General features: G+C 51.3%; 2 protein-coding genes across 15 annotated transcripts in view, besides 4 other annotated features; both read right to left on the reverse strand.

Annotated features, from left to right (window-relative positions):
• Positions 1–22,967, reverse strand: part of ANXA8 (annexin A8) — a 523,804-nt gene that overhangs the window by 9,249 nt on the left and 491,588 nt on the right. For 9 of the 14 annotated variants that reach the window (XR_945805.1, XR_002957008.1, XR_246202.2 and 6 more), the window contains exons 1-4: positions 7,240–7,530; positions 6,672–6,779; positions 2,557–2,647; positions 1,292–1,386 (exon numbers count right to left, since the gene is read on the reverse strand). Coding sequence is in view for 9 of the 14 variants with exons in the window: in XM_011540098.1 (XP_011538400.1) it covers positions 1,292–1,386; positions 2,557–2,647; positions 6,672–6,779; positions 7,240–7,515 (570 nt within the window). In the remaining 5 variants the exon portion in view is untranslated. Of the gene's footprint in view, position 1; positions 1,501–2,556; positions 2,648–6,671; positions 6,875–7,239; positions 7,571–22,967 lie in introns of those variants that run through there. The other 5 variants (XR_945806.4, NM_001040084.3, NM_001271702.2 and 2 more) reach the window with 5 other exon arrangements.
• Positions 1,329–2,262: an enhancer, noted in NCBI's record as "H3K4me1 hESC enhancer chr10:47168559-47169492 (GRCh37/hg19 assembly coordinates)". NCBI's record gives its function as "activates a minimal SCP1, AML or CMV promoter by ChIP-STARR-seq in naive H9 embryonic stem cells {active_cell/tissue: H9 hESC(naive)}" and the evidence as "EXISTENCE:reporter gene assay evidence [ECO:0000049][PMID:30033119]".
• Positions 4,350–4,862: an enhancer, noted in NCBI's record as "H3K4me1 hESC enhancer chr10:48257259-48257771 (GRCh37/hg19 assembly coordinates)". NCBI's record gives its function as "activates a minimal SCP1, AML or CMV promoter by ChIP-STARR-seq in primed H9 embryonic stem cells {active_cell/tissue: H9 hESC(primed)}" and the evidence as "EXISTENCE:reporter gene assay evidence [ECO:0000049][PMID:30033119]".
• Positions 6,068–6,968: an enhancer, noted in NCBI's record as "H3K4me1 hESC enhancer chr10:48255153-48256053 (GRCh37/hg19 assembly coordinates)". NCBI's record gives its function as "activates a minimal SCP1, AML or CMV promoter by ChIP-STARR-seq in naive H9 embryonic stem cells {active_cell/tissue: H9 hESC(naive)}" and the evidence as "EXISTENCE:reporter gene assay evidence [ECO:0000049][PMID:30033119]".
• Positions 6,969–7,869: an enhancer, noted in NCBI's record as "H3K4me1 hESC enhancer chr10:48254252-48255152 (GRCh37/hg19 assembly coordinates)". NCBI's record gives its function as "activates a minimal SCP1, AML or CMV promoter by ChIP-STARR-seq in naive H9 embryonic stem cells {active_cell/tissue: H9 hESC(naive)}" and the evidence as "EXISTENCE:reporter gene assay evidence [ECO:0000049][PMID:30033119]".
• On the reverse strand, positions 9,978–14,459 carry FAM25G (family with sequence similarity 25 member G). The gene is made up of 3 exons (NM_001137549.2): positions 14,361–14,459; positions 12,345–12,407; positions 9,978–10,167 (listed from the first exon to the last, which is right to left on the reverse strand). Exons 1-3 carry the CDS (start codon positions 14,431–14,433, stop codon positions 10,034–10,036), a joined length of 270 nt encoding a protein of 89 aa, NP_001131021.1. The 5' UTR covers positions 14,434–14,459; the 3' UTR covers positions 9,978–10,033.

Below are 22,967 nucleotides of genomic sequence, written 5' to 3' on the forward strand. Positions count from 1 at the left end.
CCTGAGTGCAGGCAGCGGAGTGGTGGCTGGGTCCAGGGGCTTGGGCTGGATTCTGCGTGGGCCTTGCCACGTGCTGGCTGGGTTTCTTGGGCCAGCTCCTTAGCTTCTCTTAGCATCAGTATCTTTACCGGTTACACGGAGAGAAACGTGCTCCTGCTTCATCCCGTTGCTTAGGGGGTTGTGTGTGACTCAATTCAGCATTCAGTGCAGTGCTGGGCACATCATAAGCTCTCAGTAAAATGAAATTGGTATTGCTAGCTAGACTGCAAGCTCTGAGTATGGCATCACCATAAAATACCTGTCACTTGGCACTCAATGAATGAATGCATGCCTGAATTAAAGACTTCGTCTCACATGTGCCTCCTTCTAAGGTCACATGTTGCTACGAGGAGCCACCAGGCTACATCAGCTGATCTACAGAGCAGCAGAGAGATCAAGGGCTTTGTCAGACCTGGATTTTAATCCCCACCTTGTTGATTACAGGCTCTGGGACCTTGGGCAACTTAAAACCTCTCTGAGTGCCAGTTTCCCCAAATGTTTGAATACAAAGAATGTATCACTGTGAGGACTAAGAGAGGGAAACTGTAAAAATGCATACTGGGTTCTCCAAGAGAATATTTGAGCTGATCTTCCTTCGTTACATCTCCAAACTAATGATATGAGTCACTAGAGGCTTGAGGCAACCATGGCTGTGCACATATTTAATCCTGTGTTTACTGTGTACCCCCAAATGTCAGGCTTTGTCCTAGGGGTGGAGTGCAGGTGGGAGGAGAAACAAAGGGCCTGGCATGCTTACTCCAGGCTCTTAGAATTCCCAGGTGGCAGAAGGGACGAGGTGTGGGTGCAAGCAGCTCGACTGAGGAAAGCATGCCCACGCCCCAGAACAGAGCAAAGCCAGGCCTGCATGCCTGGGGCATGGAAAAGAGAAGGTGGTCTGGGCTCAGAGGGCAGGGCGAGATAGCCTGGGGGCAGGGAGACAGACCTCCAGTGGGGCCTGTTGGGTGCATGAGAAGGAATGCTGTGAGAGAGGAGGCAGGAAAGGAAGCAAGGAAGGCCAGCCCCCGGCCCGGGCTCTGACACCTAAAAGTAGATCTGCCAGATAAAACACAGGGCAGCCAGTTACATTTGAATTTCAATAAAGAACAATTGTTTTCATGCAAACATGTTCCATGTGCCCATGCTGCCAGTGGGCTGGCTCTAGGGGAAAGTCGTCCAGAATGGAGCTGCCTCCCAGGCTGTACCCCCAACCCCAAGGCTCACCTATCCCCACCCCCACCAGCCTTCCCCTTGCCTTGCCGAACTGAGCCTTGAAGGACTTGGCGATCTGCTGCCGCTGCGTGTTGCTTCTCTTGGTGAGCACATCGATGATAGCCTGCTCGTTGGTCCCTGCAGGGTTACAGCACAAGTGACCCTGCTGCCCCCAGGGTGACACACTGGTGAGGGCGGAGGAGGGGAAGGCGAAGGCAGCTGCTTGGTGGCTGAGCAGTTGGGACCCGACACCTGGATAGTTCCAAACCCCCAGACCATTTTCGTGGTGTAAACAAGACCCTTAGGAAATCTGCCTCCCCATTTCCCACCCCACACCCCCACAATGTTGGGGCGTGCCCAAGGCCAGCCTCACAAGATGGAATCTGAGGTCTGGGTGGCTCTGGACATCAGCCCGGGCCTTTGGAGCTTGGCCGAGTGAGATCTCTGGCCCTGCCCTCCTTTGTGTTGGTCGCAGTAGGGGAAGGTCAAGACTAAGAGTCCAACCCCTGAATCCGAGGCCTGGCCCAGCAACTGCGTGGCATTGGGCAGCCAGCCTCATTTCCCTGGGCCTCCGTTTTCTCATTTGGGAAGTGGAGATAACTTTCTGCTTCACAGAAAGCAGAGGGCATGAGAACGTTTTCTGGGCTTGTCAGGAGCGGCAGTTCTCATTAAGGCCCCTGATCCTCAGGCAGAGCCGGCTAAGGGGTCAGTCCCACCTGGGGTGAGGTCAGGGTACATGCTCTGCTCTCAGGTCAGGAGGGCTTTCTGGGCAAGCTGTTTAAATCTGGCCTCAGGCCAGCCCTCGCCCACTCACGGTAGTGCTGAGGGCAGCACTGGGCAAGTGCAGGAGATGGGAAGGGAGCCGGCTCCATGGCCATCGACATGGGGCAAGGGGGCCTTGAATCAGCCCCACAAACTCCCAACACCTCACACCCCTGGCAGCTCTGTGCCTGGCATCATAAAGCACCACCCCCTTCACACTTCATGTGACACACAAGGCCAAGAATTCTTGGGGCCACTTTACAAGTGAGAAAGCTGAGACTGATGGGAAGTCACTCACAGAGACACACAGCTCACCTCCCCACCCCCATTACCCAGGGAAGAGCAGCACCCTCCTGTCCAGTCTTGCAGGGTGGGTGCTGACCTCACTGCAGAAACAGAGGGCTGTGTGATTCTCTGGGTAGTGGAATCAGTTTCAGAGTATCATGGGACACCCCAGCTCCCCAGATGTCCCCTGGCACCCGCTTTCCAGGGCTGTGAGCGGAGGGGTCTTGAGCAGAGGTGGCAAGGCTGCCAACACCCACTCACCGATCCCCTTCATGGCTTTGTAGAGGGTCTCTGCATCAGGGTCTGGGTTGAAGTGGGAGCTGCTCTTCACTGTGACACCCTCCTGTTCAATCTGCAAGAGAACCAGGCCTGCTCAAAGCAGGCAGGGACAGGGAGGGCAGAGCAGGCTCCCAGCCCATCTGGTAGCCCGCCCTGACAGGGTGAGCCCCTTCCCTGGGCACGGAGATCTGCTCAGCCCTTGCAGGCCAGTGCTCTGCCCTTCAGCCCCTTGGCCAACAGGGTGGAGTAGCCAGAGCCAGAGCTTGTGGGGAGAAGCCACAAAACCTTTCCTGTCCCTGTCTGTGCCATCTGACTGCAGACAGCAGCCCCAGCCACACCCAGCTCCTTCCAGCATCACCCACCAGCAGCAGGAAGGGACAAACTCACCCAAAGTTAGGAGGGGAAAGAACACTGAAGCAAAGGCTTCCTGGAGCTGCATGCACCACCTTCAGAGTGTGCAGATGAGGTTGGAAGGCTGAGCATGGTTCTGCCTTTCTGAGGAATGGTTTGAGCTCAGTCTGCCCTCTTCCTGGGGAGTTGGGACTTACAGCAACTTAGAGGGCAGGGGCCCAGCTGAGCATATTGATAGTTCAGGGTGTTTGCAAGTCCACAGGCCCATGGGGCTCAGAGCGTCAGGTTTAGAAAAACCCGCACGATGCTCTGCAGATTGTGAAATAAACCAGATAACCAAGTGCCTGAGCCCTTGATTTCCAAGCCTCCAGTTCAGGGCTTGCCTGAAGGCTCTTTAAACTTGTGCCCTGCAGAATTTCTCAGATGATTAACATGGACATAAGTGTGTTTTGGGTGGAGGAATGGTAGAGAATGGAGGGATATTGGAGATAGGTATTGAATTAGAGGGAGACTCAGAGATCCTCCAGGATGAAAAAGAGTTTAGTCCCATCCAGTCTTGTCTTCCATTTACCTGTTCACTTATTCCTTCCATCACCTCCATCATCTGCCCATCTACTTTCCCACCTACGCACTTACCCATTTGACTACCACATCCATCCATCCATCCACCCACCCATCCATCTATGCACCCGCCCATCCATCCATCCATCCATCCATCCATCCATCCATCCATCCATCCATCGAAGCCCTGGGTTAGATTGTGAAAATACAGAGATTCCAATGGATGGTATATCTGTAAGTATCTTTCCTTTGAGTAAGAGGTAAGGCATCTTTCTGAACTCTTTGCTTTAATTTCAAATGTCTGGTGACAGATCTTCCTGAGTCATTTCTTAGCACCATGTTTCACAGCAGAAATTGTTAGAAATAATTCCTATGGAAATTCCATCCAGAGAGAGCCAGTGTGGTCCCAGATATTGCTCATCGGTGTCCACACACACGATATCCCTTGCTTGTGGAGTCACGCTCTGCTATTACTCCTGTTAGCACTTCAAGCCCCTTGTGTGTGCCAGACCTGGGCCAGGTGCTTTAGAAGCAATGCTTATGTCATGGCTTCCTCAACAGTTGTGCTAGGTAAGTACTGATGCCTCACTTTACAGAAAGGGAGCTGGACTCCCTTACACAGCTAGTAAGTGATGCTGTTGGGACTCCCCAGCCTGACTCAGAAGCTGAGCTCTATCTACCTCCCCTGCCCTACTGATGACTCCACCTTTCCCAGACAATGAGTGTTCCTGGAACGTTCCACTGAAGGAAGCTTCACCCACAGGAACGCAGGTCATCTGGGAATGTGGGAGGCATCTCAGCTCTCAGTGCCTGCCGGCTTCCCTCTGCCCCAGCACTCGGGGGCTGTGGTGCACCAGCGAGTGGCCAGGCTGTGTAACCGCATCCCTGAGGAGCATGCAGTCCCGCAGGGGTGCGGTAGGTCTCAGGTGCAGCATTTGTAAGCAGCTCCCTGGCTGGTTCTGATTTTGCTGCATTGAGAAGCCTCTGTCTCACTTCCCACTCTAAGGTTTTAGAAAATAAGTGTTCTGGGAATCGGAGCCCTGGCTATCAGTGTGGAGTCCTGGAGCTCCAGACCTCCTGCTGAGAAGGAAGGGTCAGCCTCAGGCTCCTGCAGGGTCTTGCCCAGGGCCGTGCTAGTCCAGACAGGCACATTTTCACTGAAAAGGTGACTCAGACCAGCCTGTGACTACATCTATTAATATAACTTGTTCTGTGACAGGCACAGGGGAGCTGCCACGCCTTGGCCTTCCCCTGCTACGTGGCTGCCCAGAGGCCTGGGAGATGGGTTTGTCTCTATGAGAGACACAGAGGAAAAGGCAACACCAAAAAGAGAGGTGCAGATGGACCCTGCCTGCAGACAGATCTCTCTCCAGTGGCTCCCTCATCTCCTCCCATCGCGTTCCTGGCCCAGCTTTGTGCCTAGAGGACACTGGGTCTTCGCTAGCAGCTCAGCTGTTGCAGGTGGGGTCTACCTGTGAACTTGCTACCCCTAGCCAGCTCTCACATGGGGTATGGACGACCAGGGTATGGTTTTGGCCCTGGAGTCAGGCTGTTCAGATTCTCACCTAGACTCTCACACTTACTAGTGAGTTCGGGCACCTGCCTAGCCTACTTGTGCCTCAGTTTCCTCATCTGTGGATAAGGATACTGGTGTCTACTTCATAGACTCCTTGTGAGGTTCAAGGGAGATATTGAATGTGAGGTGCTTAGAGAAGGGTCCGGCCACAGAGTAGGGACTCAGTGAGTGTCACAGTGATCCTGTCAATTTGGCAGGTCCCTACATGGACAGCCCTTTGTCCTGCTGCACTGGGTGCAAGGCCCAGTGCCAGACTGCCTTGGCCAGCAACTGACTTTGGAAACCACCCAGCACTGGGCTCTCCCTGCCATGTCCACCTCCTCAAAGGCAGGTTCCCAGCAGTCTGGTTGAAGCTGCAGGCCTCCATGGCCCCTTGTCCTGGAAGAAGGCTGCTTCCCTGGGGGCCAGGACAGCTGCCCCACCTCAGCCTGGCTTCCTCTTTGTCCCACCTGTCCAGAACCTAGCATGTCTGACCCTGAGGACACTTGCTTGGGTTGCGACATCTATGATCCAGAGACTCCCTGAAGCTGGACAAGCCTGGGTATCCCACAAAAGCTCACAGAGAACCTGGGGCTGGGCAGAGAGACCCAACTGCTCTCTGACTGGAGCCTGCTGGCCATTGGACCCTAGCAAGTCACTCAGTGTCTCTGAGCCTTCATTTCATCATCTGCAAAACAGAAAGTGCAGCCCTGACATCCTGAGGCTGCCTGGGAGGAAAGGAAAAGGGTGTGCAGAGCCGGCAGCCGGGAGATGTCACCTCTGTCCCCTTCTGGATATTCAACTCCTTAGCACAGCGATGGCCTCAGGCTCAACCATAGATGGAAAGCTCCCGAGAACCCATCAGTTCTGCTGGGGATGGGCTGCCCTGAGCCCCGGGTTCCTCCAGGCTCTAGCAGGCCAGGTCCTCCTGCTTCCCCTCTTCCCTCTCCAGTCTTGACAAATGAACATCATTGATCCCTGAGGTGAAGGCATTGATGGGTCCCCAACAGCAGGTTCAGGTTACTCTCATGCTCAAAGCCCTTCAGTGCCTTCCCACTTCTCTTAAGGTAAAGCCTAACTCCTCAGCCTGCCAGGCAAGGCCTTTCAGGACCTGGCCCTGCCTGCTTCCCCAGGTCCATCTCCTCCGGTACCAGGACCCTTGAGCTGTGCTGAGCAGCTTCCCTCGAAGCCAAGCTCCCTGCCCTCTGACCCTCTGCACACAGTTCCCTCTGCCAGGAGCAGTATGCCTGATTCTCCCCAAATGCACACGTGTGTGCACCCCATACACATTTACACACAAGGCTCAACCATGATACCCCCTCCTTTGAGTGGCCCCACCCCTGCAAGGGTCCCTCCCCTGGACTCTTCTCAAACCTCAGCTTCCCCCTTGCATTTCTAGATTTCTTCATCAGCCTGTCTCCCGGCCCAGGTCCCATCCCTGCCGTGGGCACTCTAGGCCTGGGACTGTTTCTTCTCGGCCCCTTCCCACCCTCCATGCTTGGCCCAGGAGGCAGCCAAATGTAGACTGAGCCACTCCCAGCCAAGGGCGACTTTACATTTCTCAGGACTCCCTGGTGACCAGCACCCAACACCATGCAGGAACCCAAATCTCCTGCCAGCTCCCACTTACCCAGGATTTCCACCAGGCCATCTCTTTCACCTCGGGGGCACCTTTCCCAGGGAGATGAAGAGACACAGGTTGGCCTCTGCTGGGACTCCACACGTCTGGCTCCTGCAGCTGAGGAGTGAGCAGGCCGCTCACTTGGGTGTGGGGGTGCAAGCCCGCCCAGGGCAGCGCCACACCTGCCTGCCGTCCCCTCGCCCCCGGGCTCTGCCTGGCTTTGGGCATCTCCTGTGGCTCCCAGGCCCCACCCAGACACTGCCCAGGCCTGCTCTGGGGAATTACACAACTCACTGGCAGATATTTGGGCTGTGGCTGTTACGCATACTGGAAATTCTTAGCTCCAGCCTGCGAAAGCCCCACTCAGTAAACACAGCTCCATGTTGATTAGGCTGGTCTCAAACTCCCGACCTCAGGTGATCTGCCCACCTTGGCCTACCAAAGTGCTGGGATTACAGGCATGAGCCACCGCACCCAGCCCATTTTCATCACTCCTAATAGCCATGGAGTATGCCATTTAATCAACTGCATATGCAATATTATTTTTTTTTTCCGGGGGCAAGGGGCTCATATTCACCACAGATGGGAGGCCAGTTGGTGAGAAGGTGGCAGGCGGCACAGCCACCTTATACAGCATGCCATACTGGTCCACTGTCAGACCGGTGATGGCCTCAGCTCCATCACCCCCCAGGCTGACTCTGGCTCCTGCCTGGCTCTGCCCGGCCACCACAACCCCTCGGGACCATTCAGAGGCATCACTGGAGGATGTGTGGTTAGTGGAGCAGCTGGTCATGGGGAGGTCTCGTTTCTTTGGTGGAAGGCATTCCTGGTTCCTCTCATGAACAGGTTTCATATTGCTTTGTGGTGTTCCTGGAGCCTGGAAGGAGTTGGCTTGCTCCCTGGGGCATCAGGAGGGGCTTCTCTGTAGCTTCTCTGAACCCCTCTCTGCTTCTGGCTGGGGCACCTACATCTGAGCTTCCAGTGGTGCTTCTGAGCAGCTGTAGTAAGCGTCCTCCCGGCTGGCTCGGGAGCCAGCCCATTTCACCACGCTTCCCGGGATCCACCCGCTCATCCTGGAGCCGCTGCAAACCTGGCCGCCGCCATCCCCAGCCCCGGAGCTGCCCCATACCCCTGTATATGCAATATTTGTTAACCATTCCCTTTTGGTGCCCATCTAGGTACAGGTATCATTTTTGGAGCTAAAGTATCTATAATACACTGGAAGTAACAGATGTCACCTCCATATTGTACGCCAAACCTAATAAGCAGAGCAAAACTTTTCATCCAAGCGATTTGGTTAACATTTTAGGATGTTTCTAATCTCTCAGTAATACAAATATGCTACAATAGATCTGTGTGTTTATCCTTTGGGCACCTGTGTGTGCCTGTGCATACCTGGAGAATAAAGTCCTGTGAGAGGAACTGCCATCCAAAGAGGGTGTTTCAGTCTGTACTGCCACCAACAATGTGCTTGTGCTTCTGAGCTTGCGTTTGGGTCAGGAGAATTTGAAAGTCATCAGGAACCAAACCAGGATATAAGGTTCAGCTGTAGCTGGAAAGTGGCAAGCGTTCCAAAGCTAAGACATTGGCTATACCTGGGCTGTTCACAAACTGTGAGTCCAATTCTAGATGAGATCCAGAAGTATGGTGAGCAACTCACTTATTTTTTAAGCAAAACACCTTTTTTTCTCATTTCTGCTAAGAACAAATAGCTTCCAGCAAGAGAAATAGGGGATGCAATATTTTTACAAATTACTTCTCTTTTTTTTAATTAAAAAATGTTAAGTTAAATGCTACTTAAAGATATGTTTAACCTCTATGATACTGACTTGCTCATGAGAAGGAGAGAGGGCCAGGCATCTTGCCCACTACTACCCACTATCAACACTTAGGCCTGACATCAGTCTCTAAATAAATATTCTGGGCCAGGTGCGGTGGCTCACGCCTGTAATCCCAGCACTTTGGGAGGCCAAGACAGGTGGATCATGAGGTCAGGAGATCGAGACCATCCTGGCTAACATGGTGAAACCCCGTCTCTACTAAAAATACAAAAAATTAGCCAGGAGTGGTGGCGGGCACCTGTAGTCCCAGCTACTGGGGAGGCTGAGGCAGGAGAATTGTTTGAACCCAGGAGGCAGAGGTTACAGTGAGCCAAGAACATGCCACTGCACTCCTGCCTGGGCAACAGAGTGAAACTCCGTCTTTAAAAAAAAAAAAAATCAACAGCAGCTTCTAGGATGATGAGCAGTGACTCAGTCTCTCCTTGACCAGATTCTGTAACCGTCCAGCAGAAATGCTTATCTGATCTCTGCGAGAACAGGAAGCAGCTCAGTGGGGGCCTTCCTTGCTAAATTCTTCATCAAGCTGGTCTGTTATCTGCCCTGAGTCCTGCAAGAACATCTCAAGAAAAATCCCAAAAACATGCAAGACAAATGAGGGTCCTCCCTTAGCATGTCTTGAAGCACTGAGGCACCTGAAAGTTGTATATAGTTTCTGGTGAAACAGTTTTTTAGGAAATGAAGCACAGACACTAACTATTCTTCCAGAAGAGCCCCTTCCTGACATGAAAGATCTTACTTAGCATGACAGAGAAGCATCTGTTTCATCATGAGGACCTATCCAACCAGCAGCAGGGGCCCCAGTGCCAGTGTCCACCTCAGCAGAGGAGACACGGGGGACATGCAAAGTGTTTCTGTTGAAAAATACTTCACCTAGGGTGACTATAGTTAGCAGCAATGTATTGTATATTTCAAAGTAGCTAGAAGGCTAGGTACAGTATCCCATGCCTATAATCCCAGCATTTTGGGAGGCCCAGGCAGGCAGATCACCTGAGGTCAGGAGTTTGAGACCAGCCTGGCTAACATGGTGAAACCCCATCTCTACTAAAAATAAAAACAATAAAAAATAATAATAATAAAAATTAGCCAGAGATGGTGGCCTGCGCTTGTAGTCCAAGCTACTTGGGAGGCTGAGGCAGGAGAATTGCTTGAACCTGGGAGGCAGAGGTTGCAGTGAGCCGAGATCACACCATTGCCCTCCAGCCTGGGCGACAGAGCAAGACTCTATCTCAAAACAAAAACAAAAACAAAAACAAAAAAACAAAGTAGCTAGAAGAAGGGACTTGAAATGTACCCAACACATAGTAATACCAAATATTCAAGGTGATAGACACCCCAAACACCCTGATTGATCACTATTCTGTGCATGTAATAAATACTTAAGTGTACACCATAAATATGTAAAATATGTTATGTCAACAAGAAAATACTTTGCCTAGTGTTTCCATCCAAATGGGAATAAATCCAGCGCTCAATGTACACATGTCATGGCTTTTTATTGAGACTGGGGAAGGGCCGTGGTAGCAGGTGCACTCACTGTCCAAGTTTGTCCAGACTTTCTGCTGCATGGGTGATGGCATTTGTGACTGTGTTGGTCACTGTCTCGGTGATTTCCTTCATCTTTTTGTCCCCTGACTCCTGGGCTTTCTTTATGGCTTCAGCAATGGCTGTTGGAAAGAGGAAGAATGTCCTAGTGATCCACCTGCTGAACTTGTGTCCCCTTGAGTGGCCTGTGGGATGTGGCCATCTTAATGGATTAGTCTCTGGAGTGGCCCGATGGGACCAAGGGCAGCAGGATTACTGCAGAATGAATTTGAATTTGGTTTTAATTTCCCCAACAACTTGCATTTCTTCAACTGTGAGTGAGACTGAGCATCTACTCATGGGTACATTGCCTGCTTATCCTTTTTTCTGGAAAATGCCTGCTTATGTCTTTTGACCATTTTTATATTGGGTTGTTATATTGGATTATCATTTTTATGACAAATATTTTTCATCAGTGTATAATTTTTCTTTTGGCTTGGTTTATAGTGTTTTTTTTTTTGGCTATAGAAAATTTCAGTTTTGGATTGTCAAATTTACTTAATATTTCCTTTATGGCGCTGATTTTTTTGTCATAGTTCTAAAGATTCTCCCCTCTCCAAGATTAGGCCAAAGTCTCTGATGTTATTACTATGTCTAAATGTTTACGATGTCTTCCCCCTCAAAACTCATATGCTGAAATCCTCAGTCTTAATGTAATGATATTAAGGGGTGGGGCCTTTGGGAGGTTGAAATTAGCACCCACATAAAAGAGACCACGGAGAGCTAGCTCCTTCCACCATGTGAGGACAGAGCTGGGCCCATCCATGAACCAGAAAGACTCCCTCACCAGATGCCAAATGTGCCAGTGCCTTCCTTGATCTTGGACTTCCCATCCTCCAGGAGTGTGAGAAATAAATTTCTGTTGTTTCTAAGTCACCCAGTTTATGGTTTGTTTTTGTTTTTGAGACAGAGTCTTGCTCTGTCACCCAGGCTGGAGTGCAGTGGTGCAATCTCAGCTCACTGCAACCTCCGCCTCCCAGGTTCAAGGGAGTCTCCTGCCTCAGACTCCTGAGTAGCTGGGATTACAGGCATGTGCCACCATGCCCAGCTGGTCTTTGTATTTTTAGTAGCAATGGGGTTTTACCATATTGGTCAGGCTGGTCTCGAACTCCTGACCTCAGGTGGCCCACCCGCCTTGGCTTCCCGAAGGGCTAGGATTACAGGCGTGAGCCACTGCACCTGGCCTATGGTATTTTATAAGAGCAGCCTGAGCTAAGATGTTTATCTCCTAGTAAGTTAATAAATTCATTTATGTAAATGTAAGTCCTTCATCTACCTGGAATCTATTTTGTTGAAAAGGAATGAGATATACACATGCTTTGTACATAGTACTACTCATAGCTCACACACATCAATTTAACATTTAACATAGAATTTTACATGTTAAATTTTTTTTTTTTTTTTTTTTTTTTTTTTTTTTGAGACAGAGTATCACACTGTCGCCCAGGCTGGAGTGCAGTGTCGCGATCTCGGCTCACTGCAAGCTCCACCTTCCAGGTTCACGCCATTCTCCTGCCTCAGCCTCCCGAGTAGCTAGGACTACAGGTGCCCGCCACCGTGCCCAGCTAATTTTTTGTATTTTTAGTAGAGATGCGGTTTCACCGTGGTCTGGATCTCCTGACCTCATGATCCGCCCACCTCAGCCTCCCAAAGTGCTGGGATTACAGGCGTGAGCCACCGCCCCCAGCAATTATTTTTTTCTTTTTTTTTGAGACCGAGTCTTGCTCTGTAGCCCAGGCTGGAGTGCAGTGGCATGATCTAGGCTCACTGCAAGCTCTGCCTCCCAGGTACACACCATTCTCCTGCCTCAGCCTCCCAAGTAGCTGGGACTATAGGCACCCACCACCATGCCCGGCTAATTTTTATGTATTTTTAGTAGAGACGGGGTTTCACCGTGTTAGCCAGGATGGTCTCGATCTCCTGACCTCATGATCCGCCCTCCTCAGCCTCCCAAAGTGCTGGGATTACAGGCATGAGCCACCGCACCCTGCCATGTTAAATGTTTTGTCCCAGTGTGCTGTCACATAGTCTTGTGTGACTTTGTCTTCTTATTCCACAGAGAGAACCATCTAGACAGTGTCCTAACGCAGTACAGTCTGTGGCCTCTGATGAGCATAGATAACTGCCCCAGCCAAGAGGCTCTGAAAGGCTGCAACATTAGGGGCAGAGTTTGACCTGGTTAGTCAAAGAACAGGTTGGCCCAGCACCTAGCTTCCCTTCCTCCCTCCCTCCTTCCCTGCCCGACCTCAGCCGGCTGTACCTTTCTCTCCAGTCTCCTTGGCATGTCCCACCACCTCCTTCACCACTTCCTCCACGGCATGAACTGAACAGAGGAGACAAGTCCAGGGTGAGGGCTCAGAGCAGGCCGGCTGCCCCCGAGTCCAGGGTGAGGGTTCAGAGCAGAGCCGCTGCCCTCCCAGTCCAGGGTGAGGGCTCAGAGCAGGCCCACTGCCCTCCCAGTCCAGGGTGAGGGCTCAGGGCTGGCTTATCCTCACAACAGACCTATACATCCCTGGGCATCCTAGATGGGGCTCTGGGGTGCCACCCCCAGCCAGGACAGACTGACTCATGAGAAGGACCTTCCCCCACAGCTGGCTTCATTTGGAGACGCCAGGGCCTTGGCTGCTGGGAGACGAGCTCAATGAGCCCCATGAGGGCATGGGTCCCTGAAGCCCCTTGGCCCTGCCCGGCCTGGAATGGCAATGAGCAGGCAGTCTTGCCAGCTGAGACATGAAGCCCAGGCTGGGCCTGTGTGCCAGGTCACACCCCTCTCAGGATGTGCTAGCGCCTGCCTCAGGTTGGTTTCCAAAGCCTCATCCACTAAGACCAGGTCTCTCAAAGCAATTCCTCCAACAAAACGGAATTCTCTGCCTACTTCAGAGTTTTTTAAAGTGTGGGTGGTAGCGTGCTAGAACTGAAGGATTTCAGAGTCAGAAGAAATGGTTCTTATTCTAACTCTACCTTCCACCTCTTGGTTCCCTCATCTTTAGAATGGGAATCTGTTGGGATGATGAGACCCAACACCAGGTCACGGGGGCGGCAAGTCCAGCGGAGTCAAAGGAATGACAAAGAGACAGTTCGAGAGAGAAAATGGGAGCAGGGCGCTATCGCGAGTGTGGAGGCTGCGAAGGCCCCGAGTTCTGGGAGCCCACGCTATTTATTGGTGATCTAACAAAGAAACAGGTGGTGAGGATGTGGAGGTTGAAAGGAAACAGTGTATCAAGTGAATGAGAAACATATGGCTACTTGAGAGAATGGCAGTGCTAGAAGCAAGGAGCCAGCAAGTCTAGCAAGCCCTGCCTCAGCTTTTCTCCCAACGCTGAGCTTTTCTCCCAACAGGAATCATAAAAAACTCAGAGGCTAGTGAAAGGTTAAAGCAGGTGGTCCACACCAGCTGCAGAGTCAAAAACAAAATACGCATCTGCTGCCATTTAGAAAGAGGACACAAACTCAGGCAAGACTTTTTCACACGATGACCCATGAGTGGGGCCTGGCTGGGCCTCCCCACACATACCTGCTGACCTCTGAATACAACATACACTTCGGGACCAGGTGCAGTGGTTCACGCCTGTAATCCCAGCACTTTGGGAGGCCAAGAGGAATGGATCACTTGAGGTCAGGAGTTTGAGACCAGCCTGGCCAAAATGGCGAAACCCCGTCTCTGCTAAAAATACAAAAATTAGTCGGGCGTGGTGGTGGGTGCCTGTAATCCCAGCTACTCAGGAGGCTGAGGCATGAGAATCACTTTGAACCCAGGAGGCAAAGGTTACAGTGAGCCGAGATCGCACCACTACACTCCAGCCTGGGTGCCAGAGCAAGACTCCATTTCAAATACAAATACAAATAAAAATAAACATGCTTTAGGGGACTTGGATGAAATTGAAAATGCCCTTTTTGACTTTGAACAGACTTGGTGACTTGTTAAGAAATCTTTGAAGCTTTAAAGTTATGGTAAAAATAAAAATCCATCTTCCTTTTCCTGCATAGGTTATTCAGAATAGGCTGTTTTGACAAGAAAGGCTCCCCAGATTTCCAGAGGGAAGGGTCCAAGCTGCCAGTGTTCACCCAGCACCAGGACTCATGCCCTGCCCCCAGGAGACCTCCCCAGGTCTGCACCCCTCAACTCCGTGCTGACTTGGTAGAGCAGGAGACCAGGGTTCCTGAGGGGCCAAGGCCTCCCCGCAGGTCCTCGCCTGCCTACGTAGATCCGCCTCCCACAGACCCAGTCTGCCCCAGATCCCCCCAGCCCAGGTAGAAAGGAGCCCTGGGTCCTCACTGGCTCCCTCGGTGGCCTTCTCGGTGCGGTGGGCCAGGCCCTCGGCAGCCAGCTTCCCCAGGCCTCCCAGCATCGTGTGGCAGCAGACAGTGGCGAACTAGGATGCTGAGGACTGGCCCAACATGCTTTTATAGCTGCCTCTGGTGCCTATCTAGGCTCTGGGGCAATAAGCCCTCACCCCAGCCCAGTAGGAGGCTGGACAGGTGAGTCAGTGAGGGCGGCAGCAGGAAGGGGCTGGGCGGAGCCACCCTGGAACTAGGGTGGCAGCATCCCCTGACAGCATGAGGCTTCTGTAACCCTGTCCTAGGGACCCCGTGAAGGATAGGGGCAGGGAGCAGGGCTGGACAGTAGAGATCTGGACATGCTTCTTCCTTGAGGCAGAGGGCCTGAGTGCCAGCCCCCCTGAGACCAAAGCTTCCCAAGCCTGGGTACTGATATGTACCTGGAGACAAGGCCTAGGATTCCAAGCCTGCTGCTCAAGGTCCCCAGTGTGGCCTAGTAAGAGGTTTGGGGGTTCTATGGGCCTGGAGACCTGGGCAGTCCTTTGAGTCATGAACACAAGTGGAATGAGGGTGACTGCCCTCCCCATTCCTGGAGACCCTGGCTCTGCAGAGCAGTTTGCGGCCTCCATGGGACAGGGTGGGGCGTTCAGGGTGGTGCCTTGCCCGAGTCAGAGGGGGGCACAGCACTGGGCAGAAGCGTAGTCACCTGGTGTCGCTCAGCTGATGCTCACTCACCCAAGAGGCTCTGTGAGGTCAGCAGTGCCCTCCTATCCCCTGGCAGTCCTGGAGGAGTAGACAGAGGCCTCCACCACCACTCAGGGAGATGCTTCTGGCCTTAGCTAGAATCCCCTAGGAAGCAGCTTCCCTGGCTCCTGGTGCATCGCATGAGGAGTGGCAGGGCTGCTCCCTAGTTACTCATGATGGACAGACATGCCTCAAGCCACCTGCCACATGCTGCTTCCCTTAGTCACCAGCCCAACCTGAGCCTCCGTTTCCTCATCTGTAAAATGGGCATAGCGTGCCTTCTTGGCTGTGTCCCTAATCATCCCTGAGGCAAAGCATGCAAGCTCCTGGTAAACACCTGTTCCCTCCACTCATCATTGAGGTGCCCTTTGGCAGTGAGCTCTGACCAACTGGTAGGGTGTGCCAAGGAGTGACTGGGACGTGAGGCTGCCTTGGAGCCAGAGGGCTGGGGAATGTGACTTCTGCTGGCCAGGAGCCAAGGAGAGGTCTTCCCATGCTCCTACTTCTGGGGTGCAGGCCTGTGGCAGGGGTCTGAGGCTCTCTCCCCAATGCAGGCTCCTGGAGCTGCTCTCCTGGATGTGTCGGGGCCTGATTAGTTTACTGGACTGTGGGCCCTCCCAGCCTGGGACTCGGGAGCTGAGACCCTCTTGCATTCCTGCATGGTGTTTGCGGGCTCCAGGGCTACGGCCAGTCCCCCTAGGGTGGACAGTGGGTATCGTGGGCAGCAGGACCTCTGGGTCTCAAGACTGTGGCCCCACACATGCCATTGCTGTCTCCTTTGGGCAGGGGTGAATCGGGGCTTCAACAATTTAGAGGGGCCTCTTTATGAAAAAGAATACAATAATATGATTCTTGCACATTTTTCATTTATATACGTATGAACTTCTGGACCCAGAAGGGGCTGTGAAAGTCGGGGGCCTGGAGCTCAGGCGGGTCCAGATGACCCTGTCCTCCTTTTGTAACAGCCAGAGTCCAGGATGCTTTGCCCAGGGCATTGGGCTGGCACTGCAGAGGCCTGGGGGATGGGGTGACACCTGGGACATGGCTGGTGGGAATTGTTCTAGGAAACCTCAGGGATTCTCCCTGGACCTGTCAAAGCCCCTTCCCTGTTTCTTCTGAGGCTGTGTGTCCCCCCACTCACACAAGGGTCCTTTCTATGCCTGCTCCCCTGATAAATGTCATCTGCCTGCTCTAGAATGGCTTCCAGACCCCACAGACCCCCTCCTCATGAGCTCCCACCCTAGGGTACTCTCCACCAGTCCCCGCTTTCAGGAGCTCACCAGACCCAGACAGCCTGTTGTCAGAGCTCATCCACACAGCAGGACCCTGGCCCACTGCCCAGCCCAGAGCCAGGCCCACCATGGCCTCTGGGGACAACTGCCCTTCCCCCCACCCCCTCCACATGGTCCCCTGCCCATGAGACCCTGCCCTGCTAATTTAATGCACTGCCTTGGTGTGAGCACTGTGATTCTAATGACAACACACCATGGCCTTCTGGGCGAGGCTGGGTCCAGACACAGATCCCAAATGCCTGCTGGGGAGAAGGCAAGAGGCCCGGGGAGGCCCAGGACAAGACATGGGTCCCAGGCCCTGGTGCCCTCCCTCTTGGCCTTCCAGCTGCTGCTGCTGTGACCAGATTCCCATTCACCCAGCCCCGTCCATGGGCCCCAGCAAGCCATCTGTGCCCCACAGAGGGCAGACCCCTAAGAGTGGGACCCCTTTCTAGCCAAAGAACATGAGATAGCCCCAAATCCTCCTAAACATGATGGATCCTGGTCTGAGGGGCTGGGCTCAGGTGACTCCTGCAGGGAACTTCACCTGCCTGGATGAGGTCAAGTGTGAATCAGGTGGGGCCTGCCCTCCACCACCCCATCATGGAAGAGGTCCAGCCCACAGTGGGCCCAAGAGGGCCGCCCTTGGACCTAGGGACCCAAGTCAGCATATCCTGAGTCAGAAGGTCAAGTCCAGCCTCCCCTCAGGCAGGGAGAATCTGGCTTTGACAGGAGCAGATAAATTCTCAAGGTGGAATTTGCCCAACATACTAGTTTGGCAAGGGACTAGCTGGCTGAATCACTGAGTCAAGGACAGCCAACGTTTCCAATAGCAATTTGCCAACTTAGCAATTACCAATTCTGAAAAACAATTTGTTTATTTGAAACACTTAAATACTTAGGCTGTCTCATGTCTGAAGCATGATGATGCCTTGCGTGATTTAAAGGACAGACGTCACGAATGCCAAGAGTTTTGTGGCGGTCCATCCTGCCAGTGTCTTCTCCCACTTTTGTTCTGTGGATTTGAGCTCACAGTTTGTGCTGTGCCCACCGCCTGCCCACCCTAACGAGACTCCTGGAGACTTGGCTGGCCAGTCACCAGAGGAAGAGGGGCCCAGCAGCACGCCAGCATTCACCCACCTGTGGGTATCAGTCAGGCTCCTGGTGGAAGCCAGAGGACATATTCGAATGGGTACTTGAGGAAAGGGGCTGTTCACAGAAGTGTGGACCGAGTTAAGGGAACCAATAAGAGATGAGGAATGTCCTGGACCAGCAAGAGTGGGAGCTGTTATCTCCCTGGGTCTAGAGGGACAGGAAAGGTGTCCACAGATCCCAAAGAGAGCTGTGGCTGTAGAGGAGGATCATCAGGAGCTGCAGCCATCAGTAGAAAGATGTGGCCACTGCCAAACCAACAAGGAAGAATCTGAGCGAATAACCACCTCTCCTCTCTCTCTCTCTCCCACCTCCTATGACGTCCTCCACTGTGTGAATTCCACTAGGGCCAGACAGTGAGGCACCCTGGTGATGCAGTCCAAGAGGGAGTGGGCAGAGAGGAGCCAGTGGGTATGGAGGGGAAACAGAGAAACAGAGAATTCCAGCTCACTCTGCGGGATTTCTGGGTCTGATAGAAACATGGCATTATTATTATTATTATTATTATTATTATTATTATTATTATTATTTTGAGATGGAGTTTTGCTCTTGTTACCCAGGCTGAAGTGCAGTAGCATGATCTCGGCTCACTGCAACTTCTGCCTCCCGCGTTCAAGAGATCCTCCTGCCTCAGCCTCCCGAGTAGCTGGGATTACCGGCACATGCCACCATGCCTTGCTAATTTTTGTATTTTTGGTACAGATGAGGTTTCACCATGTTGAACAGGCTGGTCTTGAACTCCTGACCTCAGGTGATCCACCTGCCTCGGCCTCCCAAAGGGCTGGGATTACAGGCATGAGCCACTGCCCAGCCTGCAGCAGCTTAATTTTACAGTGTCCCTTTTCTCCTTCTGGAAACTATATGGGGCAACAACAAGACTGAGGAGGAAGAGGAGGAGGAGGAGGAGGAGGAGGAGGAGGAAAAAGCCCATCATCAATACACACATCAAACTCAACTTCAGAGAAATTAGGAAGCTGGGAAGCCACGTAAACCCAAAAGCAGGAGACACCAGCAGAACCAACGCAGGAAGCCAGGGAAGTGCAGAAGAACAGGGCATGGGGGGCAACCCAGGGGGGAATCTTCACTGTTGCCAGCAACACACATTCCCAGCAGGAGAGGACCCTCAGAGTGAGAACGCAGAGCTGGAGAAATGAAGAAGGAGCAGGTGGTGCCCGGGGAAGTCCAGGGGTGTGGGATCTGAGAGCACGCCTTCCCAAGAGAGGCGGGAACACTTGGGAAGGCAGGGCTGAGTCCCTGGAGGCTGTATCTGGGAAAGGAGGCTGGCAGTAGAATCTTCCTGAAGCCGAGTAGGTTCTGAGAGGCAGAGGGGCAGTGGTACAGAGGTGAGGCTGACGCTTCTGTGCAGGAAGGGCAGGCTCCTGAGGAAGGGAGCCCCGAATGCTCTCCACTAGATTCCCAGGGAGCCCCACTCCCTCCACAGGGACCTCGCGCTGACATCTGGGAAATGCCATTCATACTGGAACGTCCGACACACTGCCATGAATGTGAGGGTTTTGTGACTGATGGGGTAGGTTTCTCTCTTCCAACTTAATAGTATAATGTCCATTTATTCCTCCCCCAGCCTCCCTGAACATGCACCTCTTAGATAGCCACAGTACGGTGATCAGAACCAGGAAATCCACATTCTCATATTTAACTATATTAAAATTATTTCACAAAATAACCAATTTTATTAATTTAATTAAATACATTTAACTAATGTTTAAATATATTTAAATAATTTAACTGATTTAAAATGAACATATTCGCTAAACAAAAGACCTTATTGGAGTTTCACCACTTTTTCCACTAATGTCCTTTTTCTGTTCCCAAATTCCACCCAGGATCACGCTGCATTTAGTTATTTCTTAGTCTCTCGCCGTTTTGTAGGACTGCAATAACAGTTCCTCAATCTTTCCTTATCTTTCATAACCGTGACATCTTGAACCAGTACTGATCAGTATTTATGAAATGTTCCTCGATTTGGGATTGTCTGATGTATTTCCATGATTGGACTGAAGTTACGAACTTTTGGCAATTACAGCACAAAAATGATGTGGAATCCTTCCCAGTGCATTCCATCAGAGTTATGGCATTGATAGTTCTTCTTACTGATGATGTTGAACTTGTTCATTTGGTTCAGGTTTCTGCTGGGTTTCTCCATTGTAAAGATACTATCTTTCCCCCTCATAGGGGGAAAGATCTTAGGAGAAATACTTGGAGACTATGAAAATTTTGTATTTTCTCAAACGTTAAAATTTTTTTTCAGGCCAGGCGCAGTGGCTCATGCCTCTAATCCTAGCACTTTGGGATGCCGATGTGGGTGGATCACCTGAGGTCAGGAGTTCAAAACCAGCTTGATCAACATGGAGAAACCCCATACCTACCAAAAATACAAAATTAGCCAGGCATGGTGGTGCATGCCTGTAATCCCAGCTACTCAGGAGGCTGAGGAAAGAGAATTGCTTGAACCCGGGAGGAGAGGCTGCAGTGAGCTGAGATCGTGCCATTGCACTCCAGCCTGGATAACAAGAGCAAAAGTCCATCACAAAAAAAAAAAAAAGGCCAGGCGCAATGGCTCACACCTGTAATCCCAGCACTTTGGGAGGCCAAGGTGGGTGGATCACCTGAGGTCAGGAGTTGGAGACCAGCCTGACCAACATGGAGAAACCCCATCTCTACTAAAATAAAATACAAAATTAACTGGGCATGGTGGTGCATGCCTGTAATCCCAGCTACTCAGGAGGCTGAGGCAGTAGAATTGCTTGAACACGGGAGGTGGAGGTTGCCGTGAGCCGAGATCCTGCCATTGCACTCCAGCCTGGCCAACAAAAGCAAACCTCCATCTCAAAAAAAAAAAACAACAACAAAACACCTATTTTGACAGCCGGGCATGGTGGCTCACACCTGTAATCCCAGAACTTTGGGAGGCCAAGGCAGGCGGATCACCTGAAGTCAGGAGTTCAAGACCAGCCTGGCGAACATGGTGAAACCCCGTCTCTACTAAACATACAAAAATTAGTTGGGCATGGTGGCATGTGCCTGTAAGTTCCAGCTACTTGGGAGGCTGAGGCAGGAGAATCACTTGAACCCAGAAGGCAGAGGTTGCAGTGAGCCGAGACGGCGCCATTGCACTCCAGCCTGGGCAATAGAGTGAGGGATCTCAAAAAATTATAATGAAAAAATAATAATTCTATTTTGAATTGTGGTAAAATATACATAAAATTTACTACCTTAACCACTTCTAAGTGGCAGTTGGAACAGGGGTCAAGGAGAGCCCTTGGGTTGGGTAATGTATATTCACATTGCCATGCAACCAATCTCTGGAACTTTTTCATCTGACAAAACCAAAACTCTATATCCACTAAGCAACTTCCCATTTTCTCCCTTCCCCATGTCCCTGGCAACCCCCGTTCTACCTTCTGTTTCTATTAGTTTGCTTACTCAGTCTGGACGCTTCACATAAGTGAAGGAACACCGTATTTGTCTTTTTCTAACTGGCTTATTTCACTTAGCGTAATGTCCTCAATGTTCATCCATGTTGTAGCATGTGTTAGAATTTCCTTCCTTTTTAAGGCTGAAGAACATTTTATTGTATGTATATACCACATTTTATCAATTCATCTGCCTATGGACAACTAGGCTGCATCCATCTTTTGACGAGTGTGAATACCACTGCTATAAATATCAGTGTACACATATTTCTATGAGACCTTGCTTTCAATTATTTTGGCTATATACCCAGAAGTGATATTGCCGGATCATTTGGTAATTCTATTTTTAATTTTTTGAGAAACTGCCTGTCCTGTGCTGAGCAGGTCTATATAAACCTACCCGCAAAGGCCAAGGAACCTGAGATACCAAAGAAAGAGGCTGACAAATCCAGTTTCTCAGAAAGAAACATTTAATAGGCGTTTATGAACAGAAGGCAAGTCAGGGATGGCACCAAGATAAGATGGTGGATCCCTGTGCCATCACCCCCACCCCCCCGACCCAGGGCTTCTATAGCATAGGGGAAGGGTAATGCGGGCTTCAGCAGGGATGTGTATGGCCAGACACGGTGGCTCACGCCTGCAATCCCAGCTCTTTGGGAGGCCAAGGTGGGCGGATCACCTGAGGTCAGGAGTTCCAGACCAGCCTGGCCAACATGGTAACACCTCGTCTCTACTAAAAATACAAAAATTAGCCAGGCGTGGTGGCAGGCGCCTGTAATCCCAGTTACTCGGGAAGCTGAGGCAGGAGAATCGCTTGAGCCCAGGAGGTGAAGTTTGCAGTGAGCTGAGATTGTGCCACTGAAGTCCAACCTGGGAGACAGAGTGAGACTCGGTCTCAAAAAATAAAAAATAAAAAATAATTTTTTTAAAAAGATAAAATAGAAATCGTAGATGAATTGTTGGAACTGGGATTAATCAGAATATGGCAGATTAGCATCCAAGATGGAATTGCTTTATTCTCATTCAAGGTTTCCCTCATTCTTCACTCTCCCCATGCTGGTCACCTTGCTGTTTGTTCCTCAAACACATATGAAATGCGTTTCTGTCTTGGCAGTCATCCTGCTACCTGTAATGTCAGCACTGCTTTCTGTTGTCCCTTCAGTCAGGTCACTGTTCAAATAGCTCTCTAGACAGGCTCTTCCTTATCATTCTACTTAAAATAGCCCCCAATCACTCTGTGTCCCTTTAGCCTGCTTCCTCTTCCTGCTATTTCATACTACCTGAAAAAAATACTTGAACTTCCTAGAACATAAGCTCATAAAAGCAAGAACTGTGCTCCACCTCTCCTCTCCTCTACCCCAGCACTCAGAAGAGAAACAGAGTCAGCATCCAGTGAGTGTTCATGAATCAAGTCACTGCTTGGCAGAATTCAGCACTGGGACCACAGCCTCGCCTATCTTCAACTCTTTCTCCTTCTGCTTTTCCTCCTCCCACTCTAGTAGCCACTCTTCTGGGGGCTTGTCCCTTAAATGATTAGTCCTTACTGACCTATTTTCTGTCCACTTTATCTGTTTTTGAGAGAGGGTCTCACTCTGTTGCCCAGGCTGGAGTGCAGTGGCATGAATATGGGTCACTGCAGCCTCCACCTCCTGGGCTCAAGTGATCTTCCTGCCTCAGCCTGCCATGCCATGTAACTGAGGCCACAGGCATGTGCCACCATGTCCAGCTAATTTCTTGATTTTTTTTTGGTAGAAATGGGTCTCACTTTATTGCCCAGTCTGGTCTTGAAGTCCTACACTCGAGCAGTCCTCTCAACTTGGCCTCCCAAAGTGCTGGGATTACAGGCATGAGATACTGCACCTGGTCTTATTTTTTCTTTTCTTAAGATACAGGGTCTCACCATCTGGCCCAGGCTGAACTCAAACTGCTGAGCTCAAGTAATTCCCCCACCTCAGCCTCCGAAGTAGCTAGGACTAAAGGCATGAAACCACCATGCTTGGCTTG

This window comes from Homo sapiens, chromosome 10 (assembly GCF_000001405.40).
Source record: "Homo sapiens chromosome 10, GRCh38.p14 Primary Assembly".
In the NCBI taxonomy this organism is placed as follows: Eukaryota; Metazoa; Chordata; class Mammalia; order Primates; family Hominidae; genus Homo; species Homo sapiens.

Coding starts and splice junctions, on each gene's coding strand:
- FAM25G (NM_001137549.2), bottom strand. CDS start 14,433: ATGCTGGGAGGCCTGGGGAAGCTGGCTGCCGAGGGCCTGGCCCACCGC. Junction 12,408..14,360: donor GAAGGCCACCGAGGGAGCCA/GTGAGGACCCAG, acceptor TCCTCTGTTCAG/TTCATGCCGTGGAGGAAGTG. Junction 10,168..12,344: donor CAAGGAGACTGGAGAGAAAG/GTACAGCCGGCT, acceptor TCTTTCCAACAG/CCATTGCTGAAGCCATAAAG.